Source organism: Homo sapiens, chromosome 5, assembly GCF_000001405.40.
Source record: "Homo sapiens chromosome 5, GRCh38.p14 Primary Assembly".
Taxonomy (NCBI): domain Eukaryota; kingdom Metazoa; phylum Chordata; class Mammalia; order Primates; family Hominidae; genus Homo; species Homo sapiens.
This window is the reverse complement of record NC_000005.10, coordinates 40,935,507-40,950,556: the sequence shown is the minus strand read 5'-3', so window position 1 is coordinate 40,950,556 and position 15,050 is coordinate 40,935,507. Positions and strand designations below refer to the sequence as shown.

Genomic DNA, 15,050 nt, shown 5'->3' with positions numbered 1-15,050 from the left:
CAAAAGCCTTTGGAGATCAAGAATTAACAATAGAAGACTGGAGTAGAGGTTAGGCTTGTAATTATTCACAATAGCGAAGACACGGAATCAACCTAAATGCCCATCAATGATAAACTGGATAAAGTGTGGTGCATATACACCATAGAATACTATGGAGCCATAAAAAAAGAATAAGATCATGTCCTTTGCAGGGACATGGATGGAGCTGGAAGCCATTATTCTTAGCAAACTAAAGCAAGAAAAGAAAACTAAACATTGAGTATTTTCACATATATGCAGGAGCTAAATGATGAGAATATATGGAAATAGACAGAGGAGCAACACACACTGGGGCATTTTGGAGAGTGGAGAGTGGGAGGAGGGAGAAGATCAGGAAAAAATAACTAGTGGGTACTAGGCTTAATACTTGGGTGACAAAATAATCTGTACAACAAAGCCCCATGACACAAGTTTACCTACATAACTTCACGCGTACCCTTGAACTTAAAAGTAAAAAAAAAAGAAGTTAAGCTTGCAATGCAAACTGCTCTTTTTCCATTTACCTGAAGCAGCTTTTAAAGCGTTTTCCAGTTCCTTGCATCCATGACTTGAAAATTTAACGACAAAATGCCAACCTGAGGATTTACATTTCTTTTCTTCGACTGAATTAAAATCTAGGGGAGAAAATGTAAAAGAGACATGTTTAATTTCTGCATTCCTTGAAGATCTTCAGATATGAGAGTAGGGATAAGAGGTTGTTTGCTGCTACTATGGCCATCTAATCAAGAGTGACATGATATGAACATTTTCAAGTGCTCTAGAAGAGTCAAAGATCAGAAAAAATTGACTTTTGTTATTTTCCTTCTATCAGCTTCAGAGGGGAGGCAGAAGAGATTTCTACATAAAAAGGTGCAGGGAGTAGAAATTGAACACCCCAAAGAGTGATATCTTTCACCCATTTACAGTCAGCTTCTTAGGCATAAGATAAATCAATAAAAGTAGGAGCATGACAGCTTCTTCCAGCAAATCTACTTAAGGCTCCCAAAGCTGGCTTCTGTTTCCACAGGAATTAACTCCTAAAATTCAAGTTCTACTGGTTCAATCTCTCCATCTTTAACATCTGTGACTTCCAACATCTCCTTCCCATGACTTATACCCTTAGAATGTGATCATTTCTACTCATTATCAAGGGGAGTTTTTTGTGTTTTTTTTTTTTTGCCAATGCATTTTTTGAAAGTAGGATAGAAAAATACTAAAATGTGCAAATATATTTTCTCATTTACTAACTATATTACAATAACCTTAATGTTTCTTAAAGAACAATTATTTGGGGCATACACTATATCCCAGAGGTTATGATTATATTTAAATAAAAATTTTAGGAAAAACATAAACTGCTCAAGAGTAAAATTTTTACTGAAAAATTTAATTTTACCAGCTTGGAATGTTTTTTTAATCCTCTCCATTTCTTTTAAGTGCAATAAAAAGAAGTAAAACTGAATTTAGACCAAACTACTTGCTGGATTAATTCTCCAAAGAAATAGTGTCCTTGTCGTTGCTACAAAAACCTGTACTTGTGCACTCATTTCTAACCTATAAGATTTGAAAAGATCAAGTTCTAGTTAAATTTTATGTAGTAGAGAACTTCAAAAAAAAATAGCTCAGTGGAAATGAAAAAATATTATAGTTTACCCATTTAAAAAGCTAAAAGACTTCCTCTGAATCTTATGTAAGAGATCTTATTCTTCTCCAAGGTTGTAACAGAATCTTTTCTGAAGAGAAAGACCTTGAAGAGGGGATTTGGAATAGAGAGGGAAATGTGGGCATCAGCTAAAAGACAAAGTTAGGAAAAAAAAGGTTTGACTTGGAACATTAGTAAGCCAAGGCTAGTCTCTGAAGAGGAGGAGTGGTTGTTAAGCCACCACCATCCCTGCCCATATCTAGACAGATAGTGAGGACTCTTCTCTCAATATGAAATCAACAAAGCATTAATTCAGGGGTATGTCCTGATTCTAACCAAAATCAGGCAATTTTAGCAGTGACATAGCATAAGGAATAAGCTAAACTGACTTTGAGGCCAGTTAGACCCAGCCTTAAATACCCTCCTTGCAATCTTCATGACCTTGGATAAGTCTCATAATAGCACTGAGTCTCTATTTCTCACTGTGGGGCAGAGATTATAATGCCCATCTCATTGGGTAGTAGTAAGGATTATTACTAATACATGTAACTCACTTGTCATGAGGAAGGTATCCCATCAATTTAAGCTATTGTTACAAGTATTAAGTAGTAAACAAACTTATGATATTCAGAGAGGATTTTTTTAAAAGAATGAGAGGGTAAAAAACAAAGGTAAATGAAATACTTATTTAAACATCTTGATTTCTGAAATATTGCTAAATTCCTCATTTAGTTTTTCTTGAGAAATGCTGTTTAGTTTGAGAAAGTGGAAAGTTTAAAAAGCATTCTAAAAACCCAGCCAATACCCTCTAGAGATAGCCAATAATGATAATGATTTAGCTCAAGGTACTATGCAAAACAGTAGACAGGCTTTTCTTAAACCATATAAGATTTTAAGTAGACAATAATACATTCTTGCAATTTTAGATTCCTTTGCAATTTAAATTTCTGTTTGTCAAATTTTAAAGCTCAAAAGCTTACATTAACTACATGTTATTTCCCCATTAAAATCCCAGAAATGCCTTTAGACAACGAATTTTTTAATACTGTACCATTTTGTTTTAATTTTTCTGAGTCCACATAAAATAGAACTCTGTATTCTCCTCCTAACGACCCAGATTGCAGATAATGTGTCCCGTACTGGTCGATTAATCTTCGGTAGGCACTGTAGTCATACAGAGAGGGGAGGTGGGAAAGCTCCTTCCAGAATGGCTCAGCAAGTTGTAAAAATTCTGGATTGTTATTAATGAACTGAGCCACTTCAACAGTGTTCTCAACAACCAGCAGTTGGTAACTCTGTGGAAAGAAGAAAGAGTACAAGGAGTTTTAGGTGGAAGATAAAAAGGCAATGGAAATAGTTCTCTGTTCAATACCTTCATCAGCTCTCATCTCCAATCAACCAAGACTACAAGAATTTTTATTTTTGACGCATGATGAGCACTCTTATGGGCCCACTTACTGGACGCAATCAGGAATATTTGGAGTCTCAAATAGTAATAATATCTGAGTAATGGCCAGGCAAGGTGGCTCACTCCTATAATCCCAGCACTTTGGGAGGCTGAGGCAGGCAGAGCACTTGAGACCAGCCTGGCCAACATGATGAAACCCTGTCTCTACTAAAAATACAAAAATTATCCTGCCATGGTGGTACACACCTGTAATCCCAGCTACTCAAGTGGCTGAGGTAGAAGAATCGCTTGAACCCAGGAGGCAGTGATTGAAGTGAGCCGTGATCACACCACTGCACTCCAGCCTGGGTAACAGAGTGAGACCCAATATCAAAAAAAAAAAAAAAAAAAATCTGAGTAATGCTATGTTAAGCCACCATCCCCTCCCACATCTGGACAGATAGTGAGGACCCTTCTCTCAATATGAAATCAACAAAGCATTAATTCAGGGTTCAGGATTAATTCAGGAAAATTCAGCTTTGTCCTGCCTCAGCCACTTGAGTAGCTGGGATTACAGGCATGCACCACCATGCCTGGATAATTTTTGTATTTTTAGTAGAGGTAGGGTTTCATCATGTTGGCCAGGCTGGTCTTGAACTCCTGACCTCAAGTGGTCTGCTTGCCTCAGCCTCCCAAAGTGCTGAGATTACAGGTGAAGAAATTATATGATAATTTCTTATATAAACTCCAAAACCCCAAGACCAAGTTGCTATGCCATCTTCAACTAGAAAAAGAGAATTAATCTATCAACTGATAAATATAAGTATATAAAATAATGTGTCCCTATGGTCCACATCTTGACAATGACTTGTAGGTATGATTTATCTCCCATGCTAGGGTATTTGCAGGTGAAGCTACTTTATAATGAAGTCTTTTAAACACTTCCTAAGCATCTTTTAATGATGTCCAAGACAGATCACAGATCTACTTTTGCCAAATCCCCACTTTGTGAACAATATAATGTGGAGACAATAAATGTTTTTACAACTCATAGCTCCATAGTCAGTTTCTCAGTCATAAAACAAATAAAATCAATATTCCTTATATTTTCCTAAGTGATTTATTAATCAAGTTACTAACTTTAAGATGTGATGAAATGTGCAGATTGTGAATAATAATTAGCCTAAAAAAATTATTCAGCCATAACTGTATATCAATTAGTACAATCCATCTCTACTGTTCAGATTTCTCAAGAGGAAGGTTTTAGTATTTCAAAACAATGAAGTATTTAAAAATGTCTTTTAACTTCCTTAGATAAAAATGTTGGTATCTCAAAAGTAATAAAGTGTTTTTAAAGTATTTTATCTTCATGCACCATCTAAAAAGCCTCTAGCATTTGCATTTAAGAAGCATATATAAGCATTAATTAGATTTTTTAAAATTGTATATGACACTTAAAATAGTATCACCAGTAATCACAAATTTAAGAAATTTAAGATCGTTTAAAATAGAAGATTTCAAGGTAATAAGGGCTTTGTAAACATCTTCAAATAAAAACAAATATTTTTAATGAGAAGTTTAAAACTATAACTAAATATACATATATATATATATATATATATATATATATATATGTATTTTTTTTTGAGACAGGGTCTCACTCTGTTGCCCAGGCTGAAGTGCAGTGACATGATATTGGCTCACTGCATCCTCTCCCTCCAAGGCTCAAGTGATCCTTCCACCTTAGCCTCCTAAGTAGCTGGGACTATAGGCATGCACCACCATGCTCAGCTAATTTTTGTGTTTTTATAGAGACAGGGTCTTGCTATGTTGCCCAGGCTGGTCCCAAATTCCTGAGCTCAAGCTCAAGCAATCCACTCACCTTGGCCTCCCAAAGTGCTGGGATTATAGGCGTGAACCACTGTGCCTGGCCAGTATAAATAAATATATTATCAAAGAGATTTAATGAGACAATATTGTACCTTTTAGAGAAAGATATTGCATTGACTCTTAAAGGAAGTACTATTACTATTACTAATTTTAATATGAAAGCTGATCCTTTTGATAAATACAAGTTTATTAATGTAAGCAATACTTAAAAAAGTAAAACATGGAAAAGTTAACTGACATTTTATACTAACCTTTCCTTTATGGATTTCATTGGTATGTGAAGTATAACTGCGTGAAGAAGATGATGAAGATCTAAAAAAGGAGCGCTTCCGACTAGATGATGTGTGTTCTGTCGACGTATGTTTTACATAAGACCAAGTACTATTGTAAAATTCATAATTAAAATCATTATTTATTTTCACCTACAAAGAAAATGAAAAATTTTGCTATGACTAAATTAATGCTGGATCCTTTATCATGCATACTTTCTTCATGCAATCTTCCCAAAGAGAAAAGCTCTTCATTGGCACAAAGCAACTGTGACTCTCATTAAGACCAGGCCAGTATGATTATAAGGAAAGAGTTCATTCTACGATTATTTTTTTATTAAGCAGGACACATGGTACCAACAATGGCAATCCCAAGTGACTCACAAAATGCATTTAGGTACAAACAACTTCCATGTTCCTTTAATGTCAGCATTTGGCCCAGAAGCGAGCAAATTAACAAAAGCTACACTGACAGAGAACTAGAAAGAATTTCGTTCTTGATTTTTCATCTAACAAAGAGGAACAGAGATGCAAATAGGTGATATGAAACAATTAGCTCTTTTGGACTTTGTTTTGGAATGTTCTATGTGATCCAATAGTGGATTTAATTTTCTAATTCTGTTTCACTTGGATAAATGCTAAAATTGCATTTTTTTCTTTGCTAGATAGAAGAAAGGGTCACCCCAAAAGAATTTTAAAGTAGACAATAGGTTAGTCACATGTAGCTAAATGAGAAGTGACAGCTTCAGCTTTTATTGAAGAGACAATCATTCATTTATCCTTTATTTTGCTTTAGATCAAGTGTCAAAATGAAATGCCCACAGGGAACTGGCAAGTAATGTCAATGTTGGAAACCTCCAGTGGACAGCATGGTGATGAAAAAGTGAACACGTACCCTGTCTAAAAGGGACACACAACACTCAAATCCACTAGACAGTCACTAGATGTAACTACAGGTTCTGGTATTGACAAATTGTCTGATTTTTTCCAAGGGATAAATTTGACTCTTCATGTAAAACTCTCTTGATTTGTTAAAGTTATAGACAACTAATTTGCTAAAAATGTCAGTCCCTGTGGGAATGAAACAAATCAGGCAAGAAGACTCCCTCTCACTGTGTTTGTTCTATATAAATATTCAAATTGGGAGCTCTCCTTTCACAAGCATTTGTGTTTTTATTATATATACATACACATCTGCGTTTGAGATCCAAGCATAAGGAACAGAGGAAATTGAACTGATGGAAATGATATACTTTTTTGAAAACTAAAAGGAAAGAAAATGACAATATTACACAGTCATACTAAATGATGCTTGTGAAAGCAAAATATTCATGTTGTCACATTAAATAAGAAGACAGGTATAAGTGTGAAGATGCTATTAACCACAATCATGCAAGTATATGCCCAGTCAAAAAATACAAGACAGAAATACACCAAAATACCAGAAAATACAATATGACTGTTATCACTACCCCCATTGAGTATTAGATATGCATGCTAAAAAGATAAGAAAGATAAGAAGATGGATTTCAACAAATCTTTTATTAGAGCATTATTTCCATCACATTATGAAATTGGTTTGTTTAAAAGTCAGATGCAAAAATTCAGCTTGGGCTGGGAGAATATATATATGTCTGTGTGTATATATATATACACACACACACATATATGTATATACACATATACACATACACACATATATATTATTGATTTAAAAAATATTTAGTTTATTATCTCTTTGGAGAAAGAAAAGTTATACACATCCCTTTCAATGCAAAAAAAAAAAAAATTAGCCTATTTCCGCCTGTCTTTATATCCACAATTCAAATACAAATAAACCTCTCAGCTGCTTTAGTTCAGCATCTTCTCACTCCTATCTACCTACACATAGCTGCAGGAATCATCTTTCTCAAAGTGGTGTGGTCTTATTAAATTTTCTTTAATTAATACCCTCCTTCTTCCAGCTTAGATCCTGGATTCTCCAAGACTGATTCTTCCTCTGAAATCCCAAATTCAACCATCCTATATTCTAACATCTCTTATTCTTTTAACTCTCATTTTTATTATTGCCACATCTATTATTTCACATTATAGAAACATGTTCTTCCACTTATTCTCCCCCTTTCTCCCTATCAATACTTTCAGTTTTTTCACTTCCTTCCTGTTTCAGCTTAGGCTTCTTGGCTCATGACTTCAATCATTCTCTTGCCAATGGATTTAACTTCCTTGCCTAGATGACCTGCTATCATGTTTTCCTGGCAAAAACCCAGCCAGGGCTTGCTAGGCCAGGCATGGGCGTGGCGGCTTATGCCTGTAATCCCAGCACTTTGGGAGGCCAAGGTGGGCGGGTCACAAGGTCAGGAGATGGAGACCATCCTGGCCAACATGGTGAAACCCATCTCTACTAAAAATACAAAAATTAGCTGGGCATGGTGGTGCGTGCCTGTAATCCCAGCTACTCGGGAGGCTGAACCAGGAGAATCGCTTGAACCCAGGAGGCGGAGGTTGCAGGGAGCCGAGATCACGCCACTGCACTCCAGCCTGGTGACATAGCAAGACTCTGTCTCAAAAAAAAAAAAAAAGAAAGAAAGAAAATCGCACAACTGTACGGATTGGTGCCACTACAAATCCATTCGTGCTTTTCAACTTCAGTAGAATCCTCAAAACCAGCCAACAATACTTTATTTCTCTAGTCAGTTCCCTCCTCCCATTCTCTACAGTACCTATTTTTAAATTCTGCAAAATTTTGAAAATTTTTCAAAATTCAATTCCTCGATTCTACAGACACTTCCTTCACTCTCAGAAGATGATCTTACCTCTTTCTTTACAAAAACTCCCATCTTCAGAGACCTCTTAAACTGCTGGCTAACAAATCTACAAACTTATTAACTTTTCTTTCCTTCTTTTTCTCTATAGGTGTCCCTCCCTTTGTCTTAGGATAAATTTTCTCTCTCTTCTCTGTATTGCATTCTCTCTGACTTCTTCAAAGGGTGGATTAGATGGATTGATTGTTCCCTCTCCTACAGCTTCCATTTTTCTTGCTCTACTGGCTCCTTTCTATCAAAACATACATGTTCTAATACAACCAACTAAAATAAGAAATGCTTTACCTGTTACTATATATTCCTTCTTTCCTACTTTCCCATCTCACCACCTTAAATGAGTTGACTATAATTAATTATCTTAAATTCCTCACCTCCCATTCACTCTTCCGCTTACAATGGTCTGACTTCCAGCAATGCTGCTGGCACCTTTCTTATTTCACCAGACAGTGAACACTTCTCTCAACATCATTCGGCACTGTTGACCACTCTCTCCTACTGGAAATACTCTCTTCTGTTGGCTTTCTAGTTTTCTTTTTTTCTCTCTGGCTGTTCCTTCTAAGACTCCTTTACGCATCTCCTTCTATTACTCCTCTATGCTAATTCCAAGAGGAACAGTGTTCTCCACTCTGTGGCTTCAATTACCATTCTTATACCAATAATCACCAAATGTCTATTTCCAGCTCAAACACTTTCTCCTGAGCACTTGGACATACTTTAGATACCTAAACTGGATTTGTCTTCTCCCTGCAAATGGGTCTTTACCCATCTCAGAGGGTTGTATTTTCATCTGGCCATTGGTCCAAGTCAGAAACCCATTCATATCCCAGACTGCTCACTCTCCATCATACCCCGCATTCAGCCGCTCACCAAGTTTTCTCAGGCCGCTCTTATGTCTCTCAGGGATTATTACAACAGTTTTCTAACCAAGGTTCTTTCCCCCAGTTGGCCACCCTCCAATCTATTCTCCACTGTTCATAAGAGTAGCAACCCTTCTTAAACTCTCTGACTCTTTTTTTTAATCCAATCTCCTTAACTAACCAGAAAAAAGTCTTTTTTATTTACTTTCCCGATCACTCATAACCTCATTTCTTACAACTCTTCACACTTCACTGTGTAATCCAGCCAGTTTGAACTTCATTCAGTTATTCAAAAGTGCTCCTCGGGCCAGGGTCAGTGGCTCACGCTTGTAATCCCAGCACTTTGGGAGGCCGAGGCGGGTGGATCACTTGAGGACAGGAGTTCGAGACCAGCCTGACCGACATGGCGAAACCCTGTATCTACTAAAAATACAAAAATTAGCCAGGCATGGTAGTACACGCCTGTAATCCCAGCTACTCGGTAGGCCGAGGCATGAGAATCGCTTGAACACAGGAGGCAGAGGTTGCAGTGAGCCGAGATCACACGACTGCACTCCAGCCTGGGCAAATGGGTGAATGAGACTCCCTCTCAAAAAAAAAAAAAAAGAAGTGTTCCTCTTGCACTCTTGTTTTTTCATTTTCTCTCTCTCTCCCACTCCCACCCACATATAGAATGAGACACGATATACATATAGATATAGAGATATTCACTGCATATACATACATATATATACTATATAAAATGCTTGTAAGTATAGTGTCTGCTCTGAGGGGGTTTGGAGCCAGACTTCTAAAGTTCAAATCCCACCTTTGTCATCTTCTATGCTGTGGATAAGCTATTTAGCTTTTTTGCCTCTGTTTTATCATTTGTAAAATGAGATGCCAGTACCTACCTCCTTAGGTTATTATAAGGAAAATAGGTCCATGTAAAGCTCTTGGAACAGTGCTTAGTATACAAAGCGTTCTTATATGTGAGATATTTTTAACCATCATTTAAATTATTCCTTTAACAAGGTAGATTTAGAAATCTCAGGTATCTAGTCCTCATACCAACAGAGGAAGCAAAGGCTTAGATAATGCAGCATTCATTAAAATTGCCTTTAGAATTTGTTTTTGTTTTTAATTTGATATGCATTTAGGATTTCTCTTCAAAATATATAATGAAGTATATTCAAGACCAAACACAGAAGAAGCCATGAAGTTTTTCCACCTTGATCATAATTCATTCCCTTCTGCAATTCATCACACACTGAGAATAAACACAATAGTCCTCTGCTATCTCTCAGGCTGAACAAGGCAGAGGGGCACCTTCCCAAGCCATAAATGCCTTCCTTGTTGTATAAAATGTATAAGTAGACAGAGAATGTGCACAGCATCAAAGTTAAGTAGCTTACTCGACAAGAAATTGGGTTTGCCCTGGATAAACCGCGATGCTAAAAACCGAAACAGGGATTATAAGAGAGACTGGCCGATTCTGTTTTATATTTACTACTAATATTTATGTTCCAATAAGCCAAAAGTCACTTTCCACCTCAAAGAGAGCTGAATACCCAGTGGGCCCGAGATGAATTTATTTGAACCATGGAGGACATTCACCACCTCCGCGTCCACACCTGAGTTTAGCATTTGCATGGCTGACTCACTGCCTGTGGCTTCCACTTCACTTCCCTCAGACTGCTCCTCAAAACATCTCTGTTCCTCATTCTATAGCAGGCTATAATTTCCCTCTACTCTGACAAACACCTTCACATTCAGTGATGGGGAAGGCATTTCAGTTGTCAATCTAAAGACCAAGCCCTGCTGAGGAAAATGAATGTCAGGATCACGTTGTTAATAAATTATCCCTCTTCTTCAGAAATGCAGACTTCCTGCCTGTCTACCTTCCAACGAAGTCAGAAACGCTCTTTCTTATTATTTTCTCTGCTCTGTAACTTTCTAAATTTGACCCTTTCAAAAATATACATGCAAGTCTCCACATTATAATTATGAAAGAATTAGGAACATATTCTCTAAGGTATAGAGGGAGAAAAAAAATTATCTGTATATGCCTGTCTTACATTCTCCTTTCTGGCCAAAGGTTAAATTGTAATACATGTTATTCACCACGTTGAATTTAGAATTGAAAAATAAGTGAAACACATGGGGAGAGTAAAATGTAATGGAAAAATAAAAGGCTGTGAAATCTGACAGACCAGATCTAAGCTCTACTACTTTTTAATTTGGTGACTTTGAGTATGTCAGCTGAAGTCCTCTTAAGCCTCAGTTTCTACATATATAAAATAGTAAAATATTGCTTACTTTCCAAAGCTGCTGTGAGAATTAAACCTATGCTAATCACCTAAAATAGTGTAGATGCCACAGTAGGTATTCAAAAACTGGTAGCTACAATTATTTTTCAGATCTGTTTTACTTCTCATTTATATTACTCAACAACTCTTAAATGCAACTAACTTATTCTATGGTAAATTGGAAGACGGTATGTTTGCTATTTATAATCAAAGCTGCTTTCTGGAGAAGGTTAATTTGGGTAAGCAAAAGGCCCTTTTGTCTGAACATTTCAGTAGTTTGGGTTTACAAATTTAGAAGTAATCAATATTAAAAGCTGAATTAGACATTTTTGGAGTTTGGGGACAAAGGGAGGAAAAGGAGTGAGAGAGGGGATCTTGAAAGACGAGAGCAAGAAAGAAGCTAACACCCGATGAGACCAGAAATTTCGTTGTGTTGAGGCTGTGGAAGTGTTTTAAGATAGAAGATGCCAACCGCTATTGCTTCAACATGTTTGCATTACTGCAACAGAAAATCTCTCCTCTATCTTCCTTCTAAATCTTCCGTAAAGTTTCCTAAAGCCATAACTGTTTTGCATGAGTACGTATTGTGTTGATCAAAACCTACTCACGGGTGAGTTTAGGTGTGTATGACAGAAATAGCTTTTGAGAAACAGAAGCCTGGAGACAGAGGAGATCTGAGATCATAAGCAAAATTAAAAAGTTAAGCAATACCAACGTTGGCAAGCATGTGAAGTGGAGGCCACTCATCCCCACTGCTGGGGTATGAAATGATCCAGCCATTTTGGATACTTTACCTAGTAAAATTTAGTACATACATATCCTATGAGGTAGCAATTTGAGTTCCAGGTGTATGCCCTGGAGAAGCTCTAGTTCATTTGTATGGGACTCAGGCACAAGAATGTTCAAGGCATTTTCATAAGAAAAAATTGGAAACAGCAATAAAAATGCCACCTGCAACAGCATGAGTAAATCTCAAATCCATAACTTTTAGTGAAAAAAGTAACAGAAGAATAGATATGATTCTATTTATACAAATGGAAAAAATAGGCAAAACTAAATCACAAATTTATATTTAGGGACAAAAACATATAAAGAATAAGCATTTATAGAAAAAACAAGGATAATTAATACAAAATATAAAATAGTAGTTGCCTGAGGAGTGAGAGGGATGTGATCAGAGAGGGGCATAGAGGAGCCTTTAAGTCACTGGCAATATTCTATTTCTTAAGGCAGATGGTGGGCATATAAGGGCAGTTTTCTTCAAATTACACATATATGTTATCCACACCCTTTTGTATATATGAAATAGTTCACAATTTTAAAATAAAAGCATTTTAAGTGAGCTGACACTGTAGCAGTGTCAGGAGACTATCATTACCAGTCATGGACAGGGTCTTCAGTTTAATGCCTACACCAGCACAGACAATAAGGTCTTGGGCCTATATAGAACATGAAGTTACAAATGAGGTATAAGGATATGTCAGCTTGAATGACACATGTTAAAAGTATCATTGCCCTGTACCCCAAAGCAAAAACACTGTGTATACTTTTTAAGTCAACATAAAACATTTATAAAAATTGACCACACATTAGGCCATAAGTAAATTCTCAACAAATACGTAAAAGTCAATATCATATAAATAATGCTCTCTGACAATTCCAGATTGGAAATCAATAACGTCGTAAGTACCTGGAATGTATAGGACAGGACATTTCCACTCAGCCTGTAGAAATCTTTTCCATCCCCACTAAACACCTTTCTACATTGACCACCAAAACTTTTGGTATTGATGACTCTGTTCCTAAACTGGCCAGTGAGTTCATTGTAACTGTTAAAAGGAGGAGGAGGAGAAGGAGGAAATAAAAAGCCGTTAAAAACCAGAAATAGCACTTGGTGGGGAAAAAAGTTTATTACAGAACTCTACAAATTCTTAAAATGCATTACACTTAAACACTTCTTTGAGAGAGTTCAAATGAAGAGCACAGCATCCTAATACACACCATACATTATCCAGCTTCCCCTGCTTGGTATAATCACTAAAACTAATGGCTCAGAAAATCCAACATTCTTTCCATCTAAGAACATATTTGGGAAACACATGGCTCTTTCGTATCTATGGCAACAGCTGGTTTTGAATTGAATCTGTAGATAAAACCAATACAATTAAGGTTACTCTTGAGGAGAGAGAGCTCTCTATAATAAATTTTAACTAATTGCCTCTTAGCATACTGAATGGTGTACTCTTTCAAATAATTTTACCCTATTTCTCTGTTAATAAATTTTAAAATATTTCAGAAAAATTACTTCTTTCACTCTAAAATAGGTTATTTTTAGGTCTTGAAACCTTAACAAGTCATATGACCCTTAAAAATTCTTCAGAATTCTCTTTGATAACGTAAACACAGTATTTTCCAACCTTCACTTGGAAACAGGTTCTTGGCTAGTTTAGACAATTGCTGTTCAGCCTGGATATTACAACACACTTGCTTCTGTCTCTCTTCTCATCCTGTTCTCATTCTATTGTCTCTTCATTCTCTTGAATAGCCCCACATTATTGAATTAGTATTTTTTCTCTCTCTCTCCCTCCCTTCCAACCCCCATGAAGTGACCAACTGTCCAGGTTTCCCTGGGCCTGAGGGGTTTCTTGGAATTAGAATTTCAGCGCTAAAACTAGGACCATCCCAGGACAAGGGGTCACTCTGCATCTACCACATGTATCTACAGGTATACATGTGTGAACAAAAATACTGTCTCAGGATGTGGCAAAGAGCTCTGAGCCAATGAATAATCTTGCCTATTAGAAGACTTGTTCGTAGACTTACCAAACTATAAAATAAAACAAAATTTAAAACTACAATTCACTGATGTACTCAGGAGGCTGCCCAGCACCTTACCCATTTCCAGTAAGTTCTATGTTAGGAGGAGGTTTATCGATATCACAGGAAGGTCTCCTTTCTGAGTCCTCACATCTGTCTTCATCAGCACTGTCTTCATCACAGTCAGAATCCCCATTGCAAACCAATGATTTGCTGATGCACTGACCTGAACACCAGAGAAATCCACGTGCAAATGTAAAAGAGGGAAGAGGAGAAACACTACCCAGGACCAAAAAGGGTTTTCCTGCTACCTGTAACACTGCACTGATACGCCAATGTAAATGGGAGATAAATCCTCAGAGTGTCTCGGAAAGGACTAGTGAGTATTTTGTCTCCATTTTATGGCACATGGAAATGGTTCTTAACTCAATCAGACACAAAATTGAAAATAGGATCTGAATTCAGAATTTCAGGATCTCACCCATAATCATCAAGCAGCTTGTCTAAATTATATAATTCCGACTACTGAGAAAATAGACTGACTTCCTGCCCTTCAACTTTCACTTTTTTTCTGTCATTCTAAGATGACAAAGTTGAGCTTTTTTTGGTAATTTAAATTTGTAAGCTTTAAGAGCCGGACAATTTTATCAAAAGGTTAAAATTCAACATTTCCGTAGCACAATAGGGGCTAGGATACGAATATGAATAAAAATGGCCTTTGCCAGCTTTTCATATACTTTACAATCTAATAGGAAATACTACAAAGACATAGATCATAATTGTTATGATAGCCATAAATCTAGAGTACCAAGGAAGCACTGGAGAGTACCAGATGATCTAGTTCCTGCCTATCTCCCCAGCATCATCCCCAGCCATTCTCCTACTAGCTTCTTATACCCTAGTCATACCAGACTACCTGCATGAATAAAAGGCCAAGCTTTCTGTCATCTCCAATGATCTTGCGCTTGGTTAGTTCTCTCTGCCTAGATGGGTTTTCTCTACCTATCTCTTACTTGTCCTTCAAGAATCAAATTAAACATTATCTCCTCTTGAAAAC

General features: G+C 36.7%; 1 protein-coding gene across 1 annotated transcript in view; it reads right to left on the bottom strand.

The window, feature by feature from the left end:
* Window positions 1-15,050, bottom strand: part of C7 (complement C7) — a 75,147-nt gene that overhangs the window by 34,087 nt on the left and 26,010 nt on the right. Inside the window, exons 5-9 of the mRNA NM_000587.4 lie at window positions 14,072-14,219; window positions 12,867-13,005; window positions 5,189-5,359; window positions 2,712-2,955; window positions 543-653 (exon numbers count right to left, since the gene is read on the bottom strand). Coding sequence (NP_000578.2) covers window positions 543-653; window positions 2,712-2,955; window positions 5,189-5,359; window positions 12,867-13,005; window positions 14,072-14,219 — 813 coding nt within the window. The remainder of the gene's footprint in view (window positions 1-542; window positions 654-2,711; window positions 2,956-5,188; window positions 5,360-12,866; window positions 13,006-14,071; window positions 14,220-15,050) is intronic.